This window comes from Homo sapiens, chromosome 11 (genome assembly GCF_000001405.40).
Source record: "Homo sapiens chromosome 11, GRCh38.p14 Primary Assembly".
Taxonomy (NCBI): Eukaryota; Metazoa; Chordata; class Mammalia; order Primates; family Hominidae; genus Homo; species Homo sapiens.
The window spans coordinates 108,155,803-108,174,405 of NC_000011.10; the positions used below are offsets into that span (position 1 = coordinate 108,155,803).

Sequence of the window (18,603 nt, forward strand, 5' to 3'; positions counted from 1 at the left end):
ATCAGGTACCAAAACAAGTAACAAATGGATTAGGAGCTAACTCCTAATTTTACCAAATCAGGAAACACAAACCTAGAAACAGGTGATGATATAGGTGAATATGCCTCTGGAAATGGATAAGCATATGCTATGCAAAAAAATGACAATTTGCTGGTAGAAATGTAAATTGACGCAAGTTTAATAGCAGCATATGGCAAAATGTACTGAGATCCTTAAAAAAAGGTACACTAACTTCTTGATTTGGTAATTCTACTCTCTAAAATTTCTAAGGAAATAGTTAACATAAACAAATGTTTATAAAAATGCTCACTGCTGTTTTTGTTTGTAATAGCTAAAAAAAGGAAAAAGCTTTATATTATTGGAAGTAAAAGCAGCAGCTGGATGAGGTGGCTCACATGCCTGTAATCCCAACACCTGGGAGGCCGAGGCAGGAGGACTGCTTGAGTCCAAGAGTTTGATATCATCCTGGGCAACATAGTGAGACCCCATCTCTCTGAAAGACAAAAACAAAAAACAAAAAACAAAAAAACCAAAAAAACCCAAAAAACTGGGTGCGATGGGATATGTCTGTGGTCCCAGCTACTCGGGAGGCTGAGGTAGGAGGATCACTTGAGCCTGGGAGATCGAGGCTGCAGTGAGCCATGATTGTGCCACTGTACTTCAGCCTGCAACAGAGTGAGACCCTCTCTCAAAAAAAAAAAAAAAAAACAAAACAAAAAGCATTAGGAAGCTATATGTACCATGTGTTCAACAATGTAGATACAAATTTACGAAAAAAAGACAAAAGTATGACAAAATGATAACATTTATAAAAAGAAAAAAGTACACAATGAGTCCATTGCTTAAAGGAAGCAGCAAAATAACTAATAATAAAGTCAAAACTTATGTAATTTCAGAAAGCTGGGCCTGAGCCTAAAAGATGATGACCAGAGAAAGGATGAATGCAGAATATATAGTAATATGCTTTTGAAATTACTCCTAATAGTCATGACATGTAGCCTTTGCATGAATGCTGATGGATGCTTTTCTTATGCGCAATTTCAACACACTATAGTTCTAATATATCCAGGGCTAAATCTGTAACAAGATTTTACTTAACAACACTTCTCAGATTTGGCATACACTGACTGCATTAACCTCTAAGTAATATCCAAACAACAGACTGGATCCTCATATGTAATTATAAAAACAGCCATGGATTGTTGTAGTATACATCAACCCTGAAATGCAGTCACTGGGCATTTAAGTATTCAAATAGGTTACCAGGTACAATAGTATAATTAAGTTCAGGACCTGTGGACTTTTAAGGTAAAATGGGGATATGATTTTGCTCTTGAACATAAAAGCTCCAAGTACAAGTTATCTTTCAACTTTACTTAGCAGTTCCTGGTTAGTTAACTATGAATCTTGAAGAAAGTAAACTTATTTTATTTGTATATGAATTTTCAGTGCTTAGTACATACAACTATGAATTGAATAAGAAGAAAACTGTGATTTTCAGCATTGTACAAACTCCCAAAAAGAACTGACTTGCAAAGGAATTTAATCAGTTTCTAAACAAGACTGCCAATGTAAAGTAATTCAAACTTTTGAAGTTAATGAAAATATTTATTCAAACCTAACTGTAGTACAGTCTCAAGCTGAGTTAAATAAACATTAACTATATGATATTTAGTTCCTTAGGAATAGACCACTGCCACACCATACAAATTTCTTACATCACAAGTTTTTGCAGTAAGGTTCAGCAATTAAGAAGACATGATTTCTACACTGAGAAATGTTGTGTTAAAGTTGGATGGATTTATTTTTTTAAAGGCCCAGTACAAAAAAATGGTTGAGGAAAGTGACTCTTCAACAAAATATACACCTGTAGAAAAAAATCCCTAATATACTGATATTTAATTGAACGGAAAGTACTAAAGAGAACATACTTTAATATCTAGGCACAATTGGTCAGGTACTAATTATAATTTCTGTTCTCATTTAAAAGTTTAAACCAATTCTTCAACTGGACTGATGTGTGTGAGTCTAATACAGAGAAGGCACCTCTCTCATCTCTCACTCTCCTTAAGGACCTTTTGAGAGAAACTCTTTGTAACACTTTAAGGGACACAGACAATGCACTATATCTAAGTATAGATATAGTTATTTAACATACCCATTGTAGGAGAAACTAAAATATAAAACTATGATTTCTCTTTTTACATCTTATGATGGACACAACACCAGAAGATAATCCTCCACATAAACTCTCACATAGAACACAAGATTTAAATTATATGTGCATTGGTCACTACAATGTAAAGAGTTCTATGAATTAGTGCAATTCTTTAAATCCCCAGCATTTAGGGGAAAAGTACATACCGAGAAATCTCTACTACAAACCAAAATTTTATGGCTCAATAGTCTAACCACTTAAAGTTCTGTAAAAAATCTTAAGTTATAAATGAAAGATCAGAACATTCAATAAATGGTTTACAAAATTCTCTCTTTAAAACAAAGAGAACAGAGTGATCAGAGTAGGTAAAGTGTGAAATTCCAGAAATATAATACTTACAGCAATTATAAGAAAGGGGTAGTATTCACTCTAGGAAAAAAACTCATCAAACTGTTGATTTCTAATTAGATATTTTGCTATCAGTTGAGGTGGTTATTATTTTGTAGTACTTAGTGATTGTGTATTTAAATGTCTTATTGAATAGTTACTGAAGGTAATTTATAAGAATAAGCATCATTTTCCTCCAAAACAAGTGAGAAACTATTCCAGATGAGTAAGTCTCAGAATTAGGGATCATAAGAAGTCAAAAAACACAGTGTAAGAACATTAGGTTGATTTAACCTCTATTTCAACAAGATTTACACAGTATTTACAATATGGAATTGTCAAAGCTATACAGTTTTGCAGATTGGCTTTACTTACATTTCTGCAAACGTTTTTCCCAAAATAAAAATATACCAAGTAAGTCTATTTACAAACTAGGAAGCTGTTTCAGAAACAGCATGATTTAGATATAAAGTGAAGTTTCAGTACAATGAAAGTGCAGGTCATGCTTTCAGATTCTGTCAATATCCCATTCCCTACACTCAGTTTAAGGGATATGAGTTTTTAACACCTACTGTTCTTATGTGTCCAGAATGTTTACTCATCATAATGCAATGATAACAAAAATTTGTCTACATCCATTCCTGCTGGAAATGAACTGGGAAGCTTCTTTTTCTGTTGAAAAAGAGAAAGAAAAAATAAACTCAAAACAAGGCCAAAATGCTTTCTTAGTAAGTCACCTAAAACAGTATATTGGGTTCTTTCACATACTACTAAAATTGTCAAACTTTTTTAGTCTATTAGAATTTTACTTCTATAGAGAAGTAGAGACAAGTTTTATAAACCCAAAGTTACTTAAATATACTTCAATGGCACCTGAATGTTAGTTTATGGCAAAAGACATGATACAAATCCAGAGTGTCTGAATGTTGAATGAGACAAGATAGAACATGCTTTCTATGTTAGGTGGTTATTACTGCTTAGAAAGCTTTACTAACAGATGTTTAGGGTTACAGGTACTTATCAGTTCCAAAACTTAATATACACTAGATACTTTATGTATACTACATTTAGACTTCACAACCTAAGATACCTGGTAATATCATGTCAAGTGATGAGGCTGAGACTCAGAAAGGCTACAGACTTAACCATGATCACAGGACCAATAAGCAGTAGATGCAGGATTCAAACCCAGACTTGTAGGGCAACAAAGCCTAAATTATTTCCCTGATACCATACTTCCTCTATGATATTTTAAGCACTTTCTTTCTATTCAATCCACTTACTAAACAGCTAACCAAATCGAAAATAAATGGATTTCATTTATCAATGCTATCCCTGCACTGCCTTCCTAGAGACAACCATGCTTAAATAAAAAACATAAGGCCAGGCGCAGTGGCTCATGCTTGTAATCCCAGCACTTTGGGAGGCCAAGGTGCGCAGATCACTTGAGCTCAGGACTTCAAGACCAGCCTGGGCAACATGGCAAAAGACTGTCTCTATAAAAAAAAAAAACCAGAAAAAATGACCAGGCGTGGTGGCTCATGCCTGTAATCCCAGCATTCTGGGAGTCCGAGGTGGGTGGATCACAAGGTCAGGAGTTCAAGACTAGCCTGGCCAACACGGTGAAACCCCATCTCTACTAAACATACAAAAATTAGCTGGGTGTGGTGGCAGACACCTGTAATCCCAGCTACTCAGGGGGCTGAGGCAGGGAATTGCTTGAACTCAGGAGGCGGAAGTTGCAGTGAGGCAAGATCACGCCACCGTACTCTAGTGGGTAACAGCGCAAGACTCTGTCTCAAAAAAAAAAAAAAAAGGAAAAAATATTAGCCAGATGCAGTGGCGCATGCCTGTAGTCCCAGCTACTTGGGAAGCTGAGGTAGGAGAATCACTTCAGCCTGGAAGGCGGAGGCTGCAGTGAGCCAAGATCGTACCATTGCACTCCAGCCTGGGCAACGAGAGTGAAACCCTCTCTCAAAAAAATGGAAAAACATACGTAAATTTGATTTTTCCACTGCTCTAATATGCTAACATTTTTAAGGGCCTATGGAAGAGATTACAAGACGTGGGGGAAAAAAAAAACTGAACATCTAAGAACAAAGTCATTTATTACTTGGTAGTTCTACACAATAGTGTTTAATATTGTTTCCCAATCTTTCATGACTATGTCACGCTCATGAAAAAACTTGAGTTCTACCAAGAAAGAAAGAAAAACTTTTTCTTTTCCCCCGGAAAGATGTTTATAAACAAATGCCTCAGCAGTTTTTCCTGAAAATGCTGTTTCACCTAGACACCTTGTGCGTACTACACTAACACTGCTGGACTGCTTTGTTGCCCTACAAGTCTGAGTTTGAATCCTGCATCTACTGCTTATTGGTCCTGTGATCATGGTTATGTATTTTGTCAATGAAAACTAAAAGCTGTCTTAGCCATAACGTTCAGTCAAGTTGTTGTGGCAAGAACTGCTGAATTCGCTAATCACTAAAGCGGAAAAAAAAGGTGTGGTTTTGAAATTAAAACTTTCAAACTTGCCTTAATTTTCTTCTTTTTCATTGGTATTGATGAATTTGTAAGATTTTTACTAGAAGGACGAGAGTTTCGCTCACGTTCATCTAATTCCTCAATTTTCCGCTTTTTTGTGGTGCTCCTTGAAGATGCTCTAAACTGTTGTGTGTTATCTTTCAGAGGAGTTGCTGAAGTAGTCCTAGAAATGGCTGCCCTGGAGAGAATCATTAATGTGTGGGCAGCCATATTTACACTGTTTTCACTTCCTGTTTCACTGGCAGGGCTGCAGGCAGGCAAGTCTGGGGTGACAGGAGGGACCATTACTTTTGATGTACTACTGTCTTCACTGAAACGCCTACTAGAGGGGGCCTTGATAATATCTATAGGTTCTTCTTTATGTTTTTCCCCTGCCCCTGAGCCAGGTGTCCGGGGCACAGGTAAATCACTACTATCAGCAAGCCTACTTACTGAGCTGTGCCTCTGTATATCCTGTAACATTTCTGTGGTAATCAAAGAACTGGCGGATTTAGTTTGTTCTTGTTTTAGATCCTTCACAGCTGTACCTACTGAAAGTACATTTTTATTGTTTGAAGATGTGCCTTGTTTTTTGGTCATTTCTTGCAGTGAAGCTATAGATTTCTCACTTCGCAAACCCCCATTTTGCTGCCCAATAGATAGTTTTGAATTTTCTGGATTTTTCTGTCTTTCTACATCGCTGCATAATTCATTCTCCTTATTAGCTGTTGCTTTATGGAAAGATTCAAGCACAATTTCTGTTGGTGAAACTTTCTTTTCTGATTGAGTTTCTCTTATGGTGGTATGCCGGCTAATGGCACTTTCCGATTTAGATAAAATCTTAGGCAGAGGAGGCTTCTCTTTCTCTCTTTTGATAGCATTATTAGAAGGGGGTTTTAAGGTGGAGGACACATTGGGTGAGTCAAGATTAGGAAAAGAGACTGCATTCCTTTCTTTGTTTTGGGACACCATCTTATGGTTTGGCCCCTGCGTATTTGCCACAGGAGCAGTAGTGCTGTCGAAACAGAGTACACGTCTGTGGCATGGTTTAGCAGCTGGAACTATACTCTCTTCTGGGAAGGGAACTGTGGTTTCTTCTGATTTTTTCCCAAGATCTGTGGCAATACTTTTGTCAGAAACTTCAGTTCTAAAACAAAACAAAACAAAACTATTTCTAGCAGCATAAAGAAATCCTTTATGTTTTAAATCTGAGCATTCAAACAATCTATGATAGAAACTACTTTATACTCACTTTTGTGCATGACATCCAACTGAATGACCTGACGAATCCACCAAATTATTTACTTGTTTTCCTGAAATTATAAATGAACATTCCTGAGAAAAAGAATATACTCCTCTGAAAGAGGATAGAACAGATGACAATTATCACATATCATGAGAAAAAATTTTAAATGGTAGCTAATGTACACACAAATAGAACACGTTGACAAAGCAGCTTTTAAAAAGCAGCTTTGAAATAAGTACAAGATGGCTATTTCCCCACTGCTACAGAGGAAATCCAGATATGGAATAAATGACATGCATCAACTTCAGGCAAATATTATGTTTGTCTGTTTTTCTGAGACAGAGTCATGCTCTATCACCCAGGCTGGAGCGCAGTGGCATGATCTCGGCTCACTGCAACCTCTGCCTCCTAGGTTCAAGCAATTCTCCTGCCTCAGCCTCCCGAGTAGCTGGGATTACAGGCGCCCCCAACCATGCTCAGCTAATTTTTTGTATTTTTAGTAGAGATGGGGTTTCGCCATGTTGGCCAGGCTAGTTTCAAACTCCTGGCCTCAAGTGATCTGCCCACCTGGGCCTCCCAAAAGGCTGGATTATAGGCGTGAACCACCGCGCCCGGTTCAGGCAAATATTATAAATCCAGTCTTTGGATCTACAAATTACAATGCTCAATATAGCACATAATGTACTACTTACATCCAGGTAGTCACTTAAAGAAAACAACAGATTATATCTATTTTAAAATTCTGTCCCGGTACCTATCATGTTTACAAGCCTATGTCACTCAGAGCACATGCTCTGGAGTTCTAATAGCCATATTTTAATTTCCACGAGCTTCAGCATTTATGTGGGAGAGCAGCAAGATATCAAAACTAGAAAGAAGAGCAAAGATGAGATTATGAAGAAACTTACATATTATGCAAAAGGTTTCAGAGGCAATCCTTTAAGAGATTTATTTATTTATTTATTTATTTATTTATTTATTTTTGAGACGGAGTCTCGCTCTATTGCCCAGGCTGGAGTGCAATGGCATGATCTTGGCTCACTGCAACCTCCACCTCCTGGGTTCAAGCAATTCTAGTGCCTCAGCCTCCCGAGTAGCTGGGATTACAGGTGCACGCTGCCACGCCTGGCTAATTTTTGTATTTTTAGTAGAGAAGGGGTTTCACTACGTCAGCCAGGCCAGTCTCAAAACTCTTGACCTCAGGTGATCTACCCTCCTCGGCTTCCCAAAGTGCTGGGATTACAGGAGTGAGCCACCATGCCCGGCCCCTTTAAGGGTGTTAAATAGGGAAGATGCATGAATAGGTTTATGTCTTTGGAAGATCTGGCAATAATGTGGAAGATGGAACTGAGAAGACAGAAAACTGGAAGTAGAAACTCTATGTAGATGGCTATATTCCAGGTAAGAGATGATGAGGGTCTGAGAGACAATAATGGGCATGTACATTTCCAAAAGTAAAGGAAAAAAATAAATTGTGACATTAACCAAGGGGAAAAACACTAGGCAGAAGAAGTCTTTGAGGAAGAGAGGTGAGAAATATGTAGTTTGAAGGCCTTGAGTTACACAAAATTAGCAAGGGTGGAGAATAGTTTAGTTATGGCTCCAGAAGCCACCATAGTATCAACAGTTATAGAGAAAGCAAAGTAAGGTAAGAATGGAAAAGTTTCAATGCATAATGCAATATTAGGAGGCCACTGGTGACTCTAGTGTAGACAGTTTCAGTAGATGCATGAGAAAAGACAGTAATTTGAATGAAGAAATGGAAGATTAAGAGAGGTTAAGAGATTAACATAAAAAGTCAGCAGGTGGGACAAACCTATGTTTATAGCCAGGGAGAGAAGCCAAACAGGAAAAGTTGAAACATATATAGAAGATAAGAAACTGGAGCACATGTAGACTGCATTAACCTTAGAAAGAATGAAGGACAGTTATTTCTTTAAGAAAGAAGGATGATTTTGGAAGCAGAATAGGTTATGTACTGAATGAAAGTGATGATCAGAAAGTGAAGTTTAATACTGGTAAGATGGAAAATAAAACCACTAGCTAAGAGTGAGGAGGAGCAGGACTAGATTTGAGACGTGTTGTGCAAGACTGGAATAGTTTGAAGGAGGAACAGAAGAGAAAGCAGACACGCAGATATTTAAAATGATTGCCAAGTGGAAGGTGGGTGAGAAATACATTTTTTTTAAGTGGTAGGGAATGGTAGCACTTCTAAGGCAATGCTAAGAAGCCCAGGTGTAAAAGTTGAGATGGCTGGCTGGACAGATCAAGGGCTATAGAGTAGCTAGTGGCTATGTAGAAGAATGTGGATATGTAGGTTATTAAGAAAACTGGCCAAAGTGGCTGATGTGGTGGCTTGTGGGCTCTAGGCTGTTTAGTAAAGGAAGTGAATCCGGAAAGAAGACACAAGTTCAGGTAAAAGGTGAGGATTCAAGTAAGAAAAGCTATCACTGGTTGAAGAGGAATTCAATGGGTATATGGAAACAAGTGTGTTTTGAGACACATCACTGGCCTTTAAAAATCTTGTAAGTCTAATAAAAAGGTGAAAAATTCAAGGTGTGGCTATAGGAGAGGTTGGCTGAAGTAAAAATAAGTCTTAGTAGTGGAAAGGATCTAGGCCGGGCGCAGTGGCTCATGCCTGTAATCCCAGCACTTTGGGAGGCCGAGGCAGGCAGATCACCTGAGGTCAGGAGTTCGAGACCAGCCTGGCCAACACGGAGAACCCCGTCTCTACTAAAAATACAAAAAATAGCTGGGCATGGTGATGCGTGCCTGTAGCCCCAGCTACTCGGGAGGCTGAGGCAGAAGAATTGCTTGAACCCAGGAGGTGGAGGTTGCAGAGAGCTGAGACTGCCACTGCATTCCAGCCTGGGCGACAAGAGTAAGACTCTGTCTCAAAAATAAAATAAATAAATAAATAAGGAGTGGAAAGGATAAACTCTGAGGGTTAGGGTGGTGGGTAGATTTACAACATGGGCATTTTGTCATTCACAATGATGAAAAAATGTAGGGAGAGAAGTCTGAGAACCAGGTAACACAGTCATCAAGGTTCTGAGTAAAAATCTGGTGTTATTTTGTGTATGGTGTCTTTTGTTGAACAGAAACTTTAAATTCTAGAGTAGTTCACTCTATCAATTTTTTCCATTTATAAGTTATGTATTTCTCATTTTTAAATTTTATTTATTTTGAGACAGGTCTATGTTGCCCAGGCTGGTCTCAAACTCCTGGGCTCGCATTCCTCCTGCCTCAGCCTCCCAAGTTGCTAGGATTGCAGGTACATGCCACTGCACCCAGTTTCTTTTATTTTCTTCTATTAATATATACACACACATATGTATTTATATATATATATATATATATTTTTTTTTTGTGATAGGGTCTTGCTCTATTGCCCAGGCTGGAGTGTAGTGGCATGAGGACAGCCCACTGCACTCTCAACCTCCTGGGCTCAAGTGATCCTCCCACCTCAGCATCTCAAGTAGCTGAGACTACAGGTGCACACCACCACACCTGGCTAATATTTTTTTTTTTTTTTGAGACGGAGTCTCACTCTGTCGCCCAGGCTGGAGTGCAGTGGCACGATCTTGTCTCACTGCAAGCTCCGCCTCCCAGGTTCACACCACTCTCCTCCTGCTTTAGTCTCCCGAATAGCTGGGACTACAGGCACCCACCACCACGCCTGGCTAATTTTTTGTATTTTTAGTAGAGACGGGGTTTCACCGTATCAGCCAGGATGGTCCCGATCTCCTGACCTTGTGATCCGCCTGCCTCGGCCTCCCAAAGTGCTGGGATTACAGGCGTGAGCCACCACGCCCAGCCCATACCTGGCTAATTTTTTAAAAAAAAATTCTGTAAAGACAGAGTCTCATTATGTTGCATAGGCTGATCTCAAACTCCTGGGCTCAGTGATCCACCTGTCTTGGCCTCCCAAAGTGCTGGAATTATAGGAGTGGAGCCATTGTGCCCAAAGTCTTCTCATTTTAAAAAAAGAAATCCCAGGCCAGGCGTGGTGGCTCACGCCTGTAATCCCAGCACTTTGGGAGGCCGAGGTGGGGGGATTAAGAGGTCAGGAGTTCAAGACCAGCTTGGCCAAGATAGTGAAACCCTGTCTCTACTAAAAATACAAAAATTAGCTGAGTGTTGTGGCATGCACCTGTAATCCCAGCTACAAGGGAGGCTGAGACAGAAGAATCGCTTGAACCCGGGAGGCGAAGGTAGCAGTGAGCTGAGATCATGCCACTGCATTCCAGTCTGAGTGACAGAGCAAGACTCCCATCTAAAAAAAAATAAAAAAATAAATAAATCCTTTATCCTAATGTCATAAAAATATTCTCTTATACATTCTTCTATCATTTAATTGTTTGACTTTTTACTTTTAGGTCTTTAATCATCTTGGACTTCATCTTTGTATGAGGAAGGGATCTACTTTCTTCTCTATATATTGTATATTTAATGATCAATACATTTCATATATTATACCATCCATCTTGCTCTGACTTCTGATGTTAACATTACCATGTACAAGGTCTCTTTCTAAACTATCTTGTTCCATTTGTCTTTTTGTTTTAATTACTGTGGCTCTGCAATATTTTACCATTTGGTAGAATGAGTCTGTCCTCTGCTCTTCTATCTTGGCTAGTCATGGACTTTTATTCTTTCTCATAGATTTTATAGTTTTTCCCATCTCCCAAAATATTCTACTGGGATTTTTAAGGAAAATTACATTGAATTTTTGATTCAACTTGGAATAATTGCAATCTTTACACTGTTAAATTTTCAAATCTATGAACATGGTTCTCTTCTATTTATACATCCTTTATGAAAGATTTCAAATATTCTCCATTTCTAACATTTTTGGTTAGGTTACTTCCTTTATACTTTATCATTTTTGTGGTCATTATAAACAGTATCTTATTTTGTATAACACTTAATAGGTGTTTATTGTTGGCACCTAAAACACAATTTTAATTAACCATACCTGGCAACTTTACTGAATTATTAGTTCTATTAATTTTTCTATTAACTCCCTGTGGCTTTATTGTGTAAAAATCACATCATTTTCCATAACAGTTTAATTCCCTCTCTTCAAATCTTTACACCTATCTCTTTTCTTTTCTGAGACAGGGTCTCACTGTTGCCCAGACTGGAATGCAGTGGCATGATCATGGCTTACTTACAGCCTCAACCTCCTGGACTTAAGCAATCCTTCTGCCTCACCCTCCCGAATAGTTGGGACTACTATCTGCCACCACAGCTGGCTACTTTTAAAAAATTTATTTTCTAGAGATGTGGTCTCACTATATTGCCCAGGCTGGTCTCAAACTCCTAGACTCAAACAATCCTCCTGCCTCAGCCTCCCAAGGTGCTGGGATTATGGGGATGAGCCACCATGCCCAGCTCCATTTTCTTACTGTATTGTCTGGAACCACATATGTATGGATGTATGGGACCTTGTTTATGGTGGAAGTATAATCAGATGTCAGTGGGGCAAAAAACTGATTACTTAATAATTAATTTACTGGTGTTGGAAACACTGGCTTATTACATACAGGGTGGGAATGAGTATCTTTGTGTTATTCACAGCTTTAAAGGGAACCCATGATGTTTACTATAGATAGCCTTTAAGAGCTTTTATCATAAATGGATGCTTAACCTCACCAATGTTTTTTTCTGGTATCAACTTTGTAAGGGATAAAAACAAGTGTCAGACTGTGAAGACATCTGTGATATGTTACTAATAAAAGTATAACACCTCAACAGACAGGAAATTTAATAGAGAAGTAGGAAAAGGATATGAATAAGCAATTCACAGAAGGGAAAATATTATTTATAGTTATAAGAGAAGATTCCAAACTTTATTAGTAATCAGAATAAAGTAAAAGAATGATATGAGATACTACCACTTTAAATCCATCATAGTGGCAAAAGTTAAAATATCACATGGTATCAAATATTGGTAGTGTTGTGAGGGAAGCAGGGAAAATAATGGTAGAAGTATAAATTTTCTTCTCTATGACTCAGAAATTCTGGGTCATAGAGAAGATATACTTCTTCTCTATTATACCCAGTATACCCAAAGATTTCTGGGAATAAGCCCCCAAAGAAACTCTCATATGGGTTCACACAGAGGCATTTACAAAGATGTTCCTCATATCATTGCATGTCACATCGAAAACATCTGAAAAGTCCACTGATAGGACATATATAAAATACATTTATGCAAGTGATAGATATCAAATGGCCATTAAAAGGAATGAACTAGTTATAAGAAAGAACATAAAAATAATATAGAGTAGCTATAACAGGACATAAGTCTAAGAGGGTGCCTCAATAAGTCAAAATGCAACTTAAGCCTACATCAATAGATGTATACTGTTTAGTTTAAGGAAAGGCTGATTTGATAGCAGTTAGTTGAGTTCTCTGTATAATGAGTGCATTTAAGATACTCAGACTACTGAGAAGAAATACAATGTAATGTGTTAAGTGCTGTAGCATAGGTATCACTAAGAATTAAAGAAAAAAATAAAACCGGAATATCCACCTCAGCCACCGCTGGTTAAAAATGCTTCCTAGGAACATTTAAGTTAATTTCGAAGGATAAATAAGAACCAGATTGAGGGTAAGAGTTGGGTAAGAAGGGGGAATTCTAGGTAGAAGAGATAGCATTGGTAAAAGGTACAGGGACAAGAAAGATCACCAAGTATAAGGTGAGCAGCAACTATAGTTTGTACAAAGGGTCCATGCTGGGAAGTGGTAAGAGATGAGATGGAGAGGTCGAGAGTGACTAGATGACAAATGTATGCACATATGTCACCCTGAGAAATTTCAATTTTATCCTTTGGGCAAAGGGGAGTTGCTGAAAGTTTTTAGGCAGGAAAGCAACATATTCAGATTTGTATTTTAGGGAAAAAAAGTCACTCAGCCAGCAGATATGAGGTGAACTGAAACAACAGAGACTAAAAGAAGGGAGACTACATGACACTATTGATACAACTTAGATGAAAAATGACAAATACTTGAACTAAGAAGGAGAGGAAAATGTGTTTTAAGAGTGACTACCAGGTTTTTCACAAGTAAACAGATGGTTGGGACAATGGCTAAAACAGGGAACACAGGAAGGTAATTTGCAAACTTTAAAGCCTTGCTTCAAGTGTGGTCCAGTACCAGCAGCACTGGCATTGCTTAGAAGCTGTTAGAAATGAGGAATTTCAGGTGCTGTACCAGACCTATCAATTCAGTACCTGCATTTAACAAAATCCCCAAATAGTTCATATACACACTAAACTACAAGAAGAACTGCTCTAAAGTCTCATACAATTATACGAGGCATTCATTAAACACTTGAAAGCTGTTGGGAAAAATAGGGACTATACTTAATTTAGGGAAGCTGCAAAGAACAAACCAAGGACTACTGGGCAAAAGCTAACAGATTCAACAAAGGAGACAATTTTCTCAGAACCAAAGCTGTTCAGTAACAGTTGGCTGCATTATGACATCTGTTACTAGCAAATGTAGGGTGATCACTTGTTTTAAAATGGTTTAGGTATTCAGAAAGAAAACATTTAGGTGTTGCTGCAAACAAATGAACATACAAACATAAAGTTAACATTAATGAAATTAAAAATGGTACCTATACAAGGCTTGTTTCTTAGTCCCTGAGCCTTCTGAGATTTTGGAGGGACGGGGAATTGAGGGATACTTCTATTGCATACAGGTGCTGTCAAAGGCATATGAAGAACCTGGAAGAGAAAAAGCCATTAATTACACTAAGCTTGAAAAGCATCACCACACCATTTTCAGTTCATAAATCTTACCTGCCGAGGAGGAGTAGAAAAGTTATTTCCATTCTGTCCAACCACAGATACTGGGATCATCCCTACCATTCCTTGGAGTACAGGCTGGACTGGAGAGGCAATTATTATGGCAGATCCTAAAAAAACAATTCTTGTTAAAAAAAGATTTTCTCTGAAATGTTTTGGCACAAAACAAACAAATGTTTGGCACAAATTAATTACTGCTTTGAAATAAATTCTATGAACAATCCCTCTTCCTTACGATCCACTCTCCAAAAACAAAACAAAACAAAACAAAAAAAACGAAACTGAAACAGTTTTAGGAAAAACAGCAAGGCTAACAAATTAAGAAAAAGTCAATCCAAATATTAAGGTGGTCTTAATGTTATTCAGTCAGTGAACCATGCTGATCAAGCATAAGACTCTACAGCCAAGACATCATATTACAATCATATCTGGATTCCTCTAGAAATAATGAAACTAGTTAGAAAATGAGTGGTGAATGTTTCAAGTCTGAACCTTACACCAGAAAATTACAACCCCAACTGAATATTTATACCCAGGACTACACTTGTAACCCCAACCTATTACATATCTCAATGGTATTGATCAAAAGGGGGTAAGGTAAGCACGTAACTGGTCAAAACTATGGAGGGAAAATTACAATGTCTACATGGTCCTCAGAAGTCAACAACATAGTTTGTGGCTACTGTAATTTAGTCCTGTCCATAAACAAACTTTTGCCTAATACACTACTGTCAGGTTGATCCCCTCATTTTCATGCAACCTACTACGGTCTCTCTGTCTATGCTGGTGCTGCTTCTCTTTATAACTTACAGATTTTATAAGTTATAAAAACTTCCTTGCTTTAACTCCAAATCCTACCTTCATTCTTTAAGCTTTAGCTCAAGCCCCACATTCTCTATTAATTCTGACCTCTCCTTTATGTAATTTGTAACAGCACGTAAAACAGACCCATTAGGTTTAATACTAATTGTTGATATTTAATGAAATTTTATTGTATGTCTATAATGTAACAAAAAGGGAAAAGAGGGAAGCTTGGGAACCAACACATAAGGAAATGTAAATAAATGTGCCATGAGCACTATCTCTGAGGAACATACAATAAAAAATTATCAATATGATAGGCATATCAATCACTAACTACATATAACACAGCACGCAATAAATGCCACAAGAGCCCCTATGAAAAAAGGATTTTTTTTTTTTTTTTTTTTTTTGGAGACAGAGTCTTACTCTGTCACCCAGGCTGAAGTGCAGTGGTGCGATCTTGGCTCACTGCAACCTCTGCCTCCCAGCTTTAGATTCTTCTGTCTCAGCCTCCCAAGCAGCTGGGATTACAGGTGCCCACCACCATGCCAATTTTTGTATTTTTAGTAGATACGGGGTTTCACCATGTTGGCCAGGCTGGTCTTGAACTCCTGACCTCGGGTGATCTGCCCGCCTCGGCCTCCCAAAGTGCTGGGATTACAGTCATGAGCCACTGAGCCCAGCCATAAACAAAGGATTTTAAAGACAGAGATCAATTAGAAAGGATTTTATAAAGGAAGAAATTCAAGTTTTTTTTTTTTTTTGAGACAGAGTCTCGCTCTTGTTGCCCAGGCTGAAGTGCAATGGCATGATCTTGGCTCACTGAAACCTCTGTCTCCTGGGTTCACGAGATTCTCCTGCCTCAGCCTCCCAAGTAGCTGTAATTACAGGCACCTGCCACCATGCCTGGCTCATTTTTTTGTATTTTTAGTAGAAATGAGGTTTCACCATGTTCTCGAGGCTGGTCTCAAACTCCTGACCTCAGGTGATCGATCGGCCCACCTCGGCCTCCCAAAGTGCTGGGATTACAGGCGTGAGCCACCATAACCGGCTGAAATTCAAGTTTTTCTTGAAAATTTCTCCAAAAAGATGATGAATTCCCTGAAGACCATGACTATAAGAGCTATTTTTAAAAACTCCCCCACAACATTGGGTTTTATACAACTATGTGATGAATTAGTCTGTCTTTTCTGTTTATTGTAACTTACTAGCACATAGATTGAGAAGTATTTGTGAAAAGAAAAAAGAAAAACCACTAAAGCCCATAGCTTACTAGCAGATTAAGAAAAATAAAAAAGGTTTGAATTAGCTAGCATAAAGAAGCAGCGTAATCACAAATTTCAGAATCTTTTCTCATACCATCTACTCATTAGTTATTACTTCGCAGTCAATAACATCACATACAAAAGAAATTAGATCCCAACCCAGAGAAACAAATTTCAATTATGTTATTAAAGTTACCTTGTGAAAAGTTTGGTGACACAGCTTGGTTGACAGCAAATACACTGTTTGACCTTGGTGGTGTCTGTAACTGAGGTGGTAGAGGTTGAGCAGTCATAGGTGCAGAATTTCCAGGCAACACCACTACATTAGACTGACTTACAGATGTTCCTAACGCTGTTGGATCAGTCACACAGGTAGCTATCAGAATGTTATTTGAATTGCCAAAAGCTGTGCTTGTGGCTGGCATCAACTGTATATATCCTCCATCCTTGGAAACACATGGTGTAACATTAGCTGAAAAAGCAATGCCATCTTCATTCTGAGTATTGTTTACTGCAGAGTCTTCAGATTTGAATGTTAAAAGACTCTGTTCCATTGAGGCTGAATCCCCTACTTCGGCATATACAACAGCACCTACAGTTTCTTCTGAAGATAGGCATTTAACTAGTTCTGCATTTTTAGTAGGTGATTTAGTAGGAGAAGACAAGATTATAGTTGGCAGGTTTTCTCCATTAATACTAGAAACAGCACTGGTAAGTTCAGTATCTGAGGAAACAAATGGATCATCACTAATGATAACTTTGAGAGAGACGATATTTGATGCATCTATCTCTGCTGAGTTGTTGCTAGAAGGTTTATCATCAGTATTTTGGGACTCAGGGTGAGAATCTCCCACTGAAGAACACACAGATTCTGGAGGAAGAGAGTGACTGTTTTCTACAGGAGTGCCTTCTGGAGGCGTCAGTGCAACTTTCTCACAGTTAGCATTTCCACCTAAAGAGAGAAAAATAGTATTCTCTTCTTTTACAGAAGATGAAGGCTCCTGTGAATTCTCAGACTTGGATGCCTGAGCTTCATTTTCTGTATGATTTAACTCAACAGATGCTGAATCATTAGATGGTTGTTTAGTAGAAGACAGCGAATCTCCAAGATGAATTTCTACTTGTCCAGATACATTTAAATGTGAACTTTCAACAGACACAGGTAGTATTTCACTTTGAAGACAAGAATTATCTTGGCAATTTGATAGCTGTGACATAACTGGTTCTAACACATTAATTTCTATTTTACTCTTGTGAACTTCACTAGAATCTGATGACTTGGAACCATGAAAATTAATTTTAAGTTTTACTGTATCATTAGAATTTTCACAAAATTGACTTTTTTTAGATGGCTTTCCAGTTAATGAAGTATCTTGGGATAAAAGTTGAGAACTCTTCCCAGAGAGAATTAAGTTTTCATTGTTAGCTTCACAACCAAGTGAAACAAATGAAGTTATTGGTATATCAGGCTGATCAGGCTGTAACTGAGATTCACTCGGTACATTTGAAGACAAAGAGTTCTTTTCAATCCCTATAGCCATTTCAGTTTCAGTGGACATCTGATTGGTGTATAATTCAGCACAATGTGGATTACATTCAGCATTAGAATTCCCTCTTTGGTTAAAGTCATTCAAATTAGGCACGGACTCAAAGGTAATGTCAATGTCACACTTCTGTTCAGTGGGTACAGCTGTTTTAAAGGCCTTTTTCTGTATGCTGGTACTTATTTGGGAAAAATTTTCCTGGTCTTCTTGTCTAAGCACATCATGGTTGTTGCTATTCTTCAAAGCATTTAATGGGTCATCATTCTGATAGGATGTACAAAAAGCGGGCTGACCAGACTGACCATCTGCAAAGTATCAGGCAGGTAGACAGATATGGTAAATATGTTCAGCTTCTGAGGTAGTCATTTTTGCCATAAAACTTATTTTGCCAAGAAAATAACTCATCTTTGCATACCAGTAAGTGGAAGTCTGATACGCTGTGTTTCCCATTTACTGAGTATCAAAAAATTTACAGGTACTTTCTAGTTACTGATGACTTTTTACACAAGTGTCAATTTGTTTTCCAAGCTTGGAAGACAGATGATACAAAGAAGGAAAAAGTAAAGAGGTTTAATATTTCAATAGGTAAAAAACATACTGGCTCCAAAAATGAAGTTTATTTTGAAACACTAACTTTTCAACTTCTAACATTTCTTCTGACTTTAATTTATCTACTGTCTCGGCCTCCCAAAGTGCTGGGATCACAGGCATGAGCCACCACACCCAACTTATCTGACATATTCTTAAAGGTGAGATGGGGCCAAGTACATTTTGCATGATTGACACTTGATCTCATTGTGTACTGTTTAACATTAAACACATATTTACTGAAGACCAACCATACTTGGTTACTGGGATA

The 18,603-nt window shown here is 38.0% G+C and overlaps 1 protein-coding gene across 3 annotated transcripts in view; it reads right to left on the bottom strand.

Annotated features, from left to right (window-relative positions):
- Window positions 1-1,412: 1,412 nt before the first annotated feature.
- NPAT (nuclear protein, coactivator of histone transcription) overlaps window positions 1,413-18,603 on the bottom strand; it is a 65,424-nt gene continuing 48,233 nt past the window's right edge. Inside the window, exons 13-18 of one of the 3 annotated variants that reach the window (NM_002519.3) lie at window positions 16,397-18,049; window positions 14,126-14,241; window positions 13,942-14,050; window positions 6,318-6,378; window positions 5,078-6,212; window positions 1,413-3,217 (exon numbers count right to left, since the gene is read on the bottom strand). In NM_002519.3, coding sequence (NP_002510.2) covers window positions 3,140-3,217; window positions 5,078-6,212; window positions 6,318-6,378; window positions 13,942-14,050; window positions 14,126-14,241; window positions 16,397-18,049 — 3,152 coding nt within the window. In that variant the 3' untranslated portion in view covers window positions 1,413-3,139. Of the gene's footprint in view, window positions 3,218-5,077; window positions 6,240-6,317; window positions 6,379-13,941; window positions 14,051-14,125; window positions 14,242-16,396; window positions 18,050-18,603 lie in introns of all 3 variants that reach the window. The other 2 variants (NM_001321307.1, XM_011542854.3) reach the window with 2 other exon arrangements.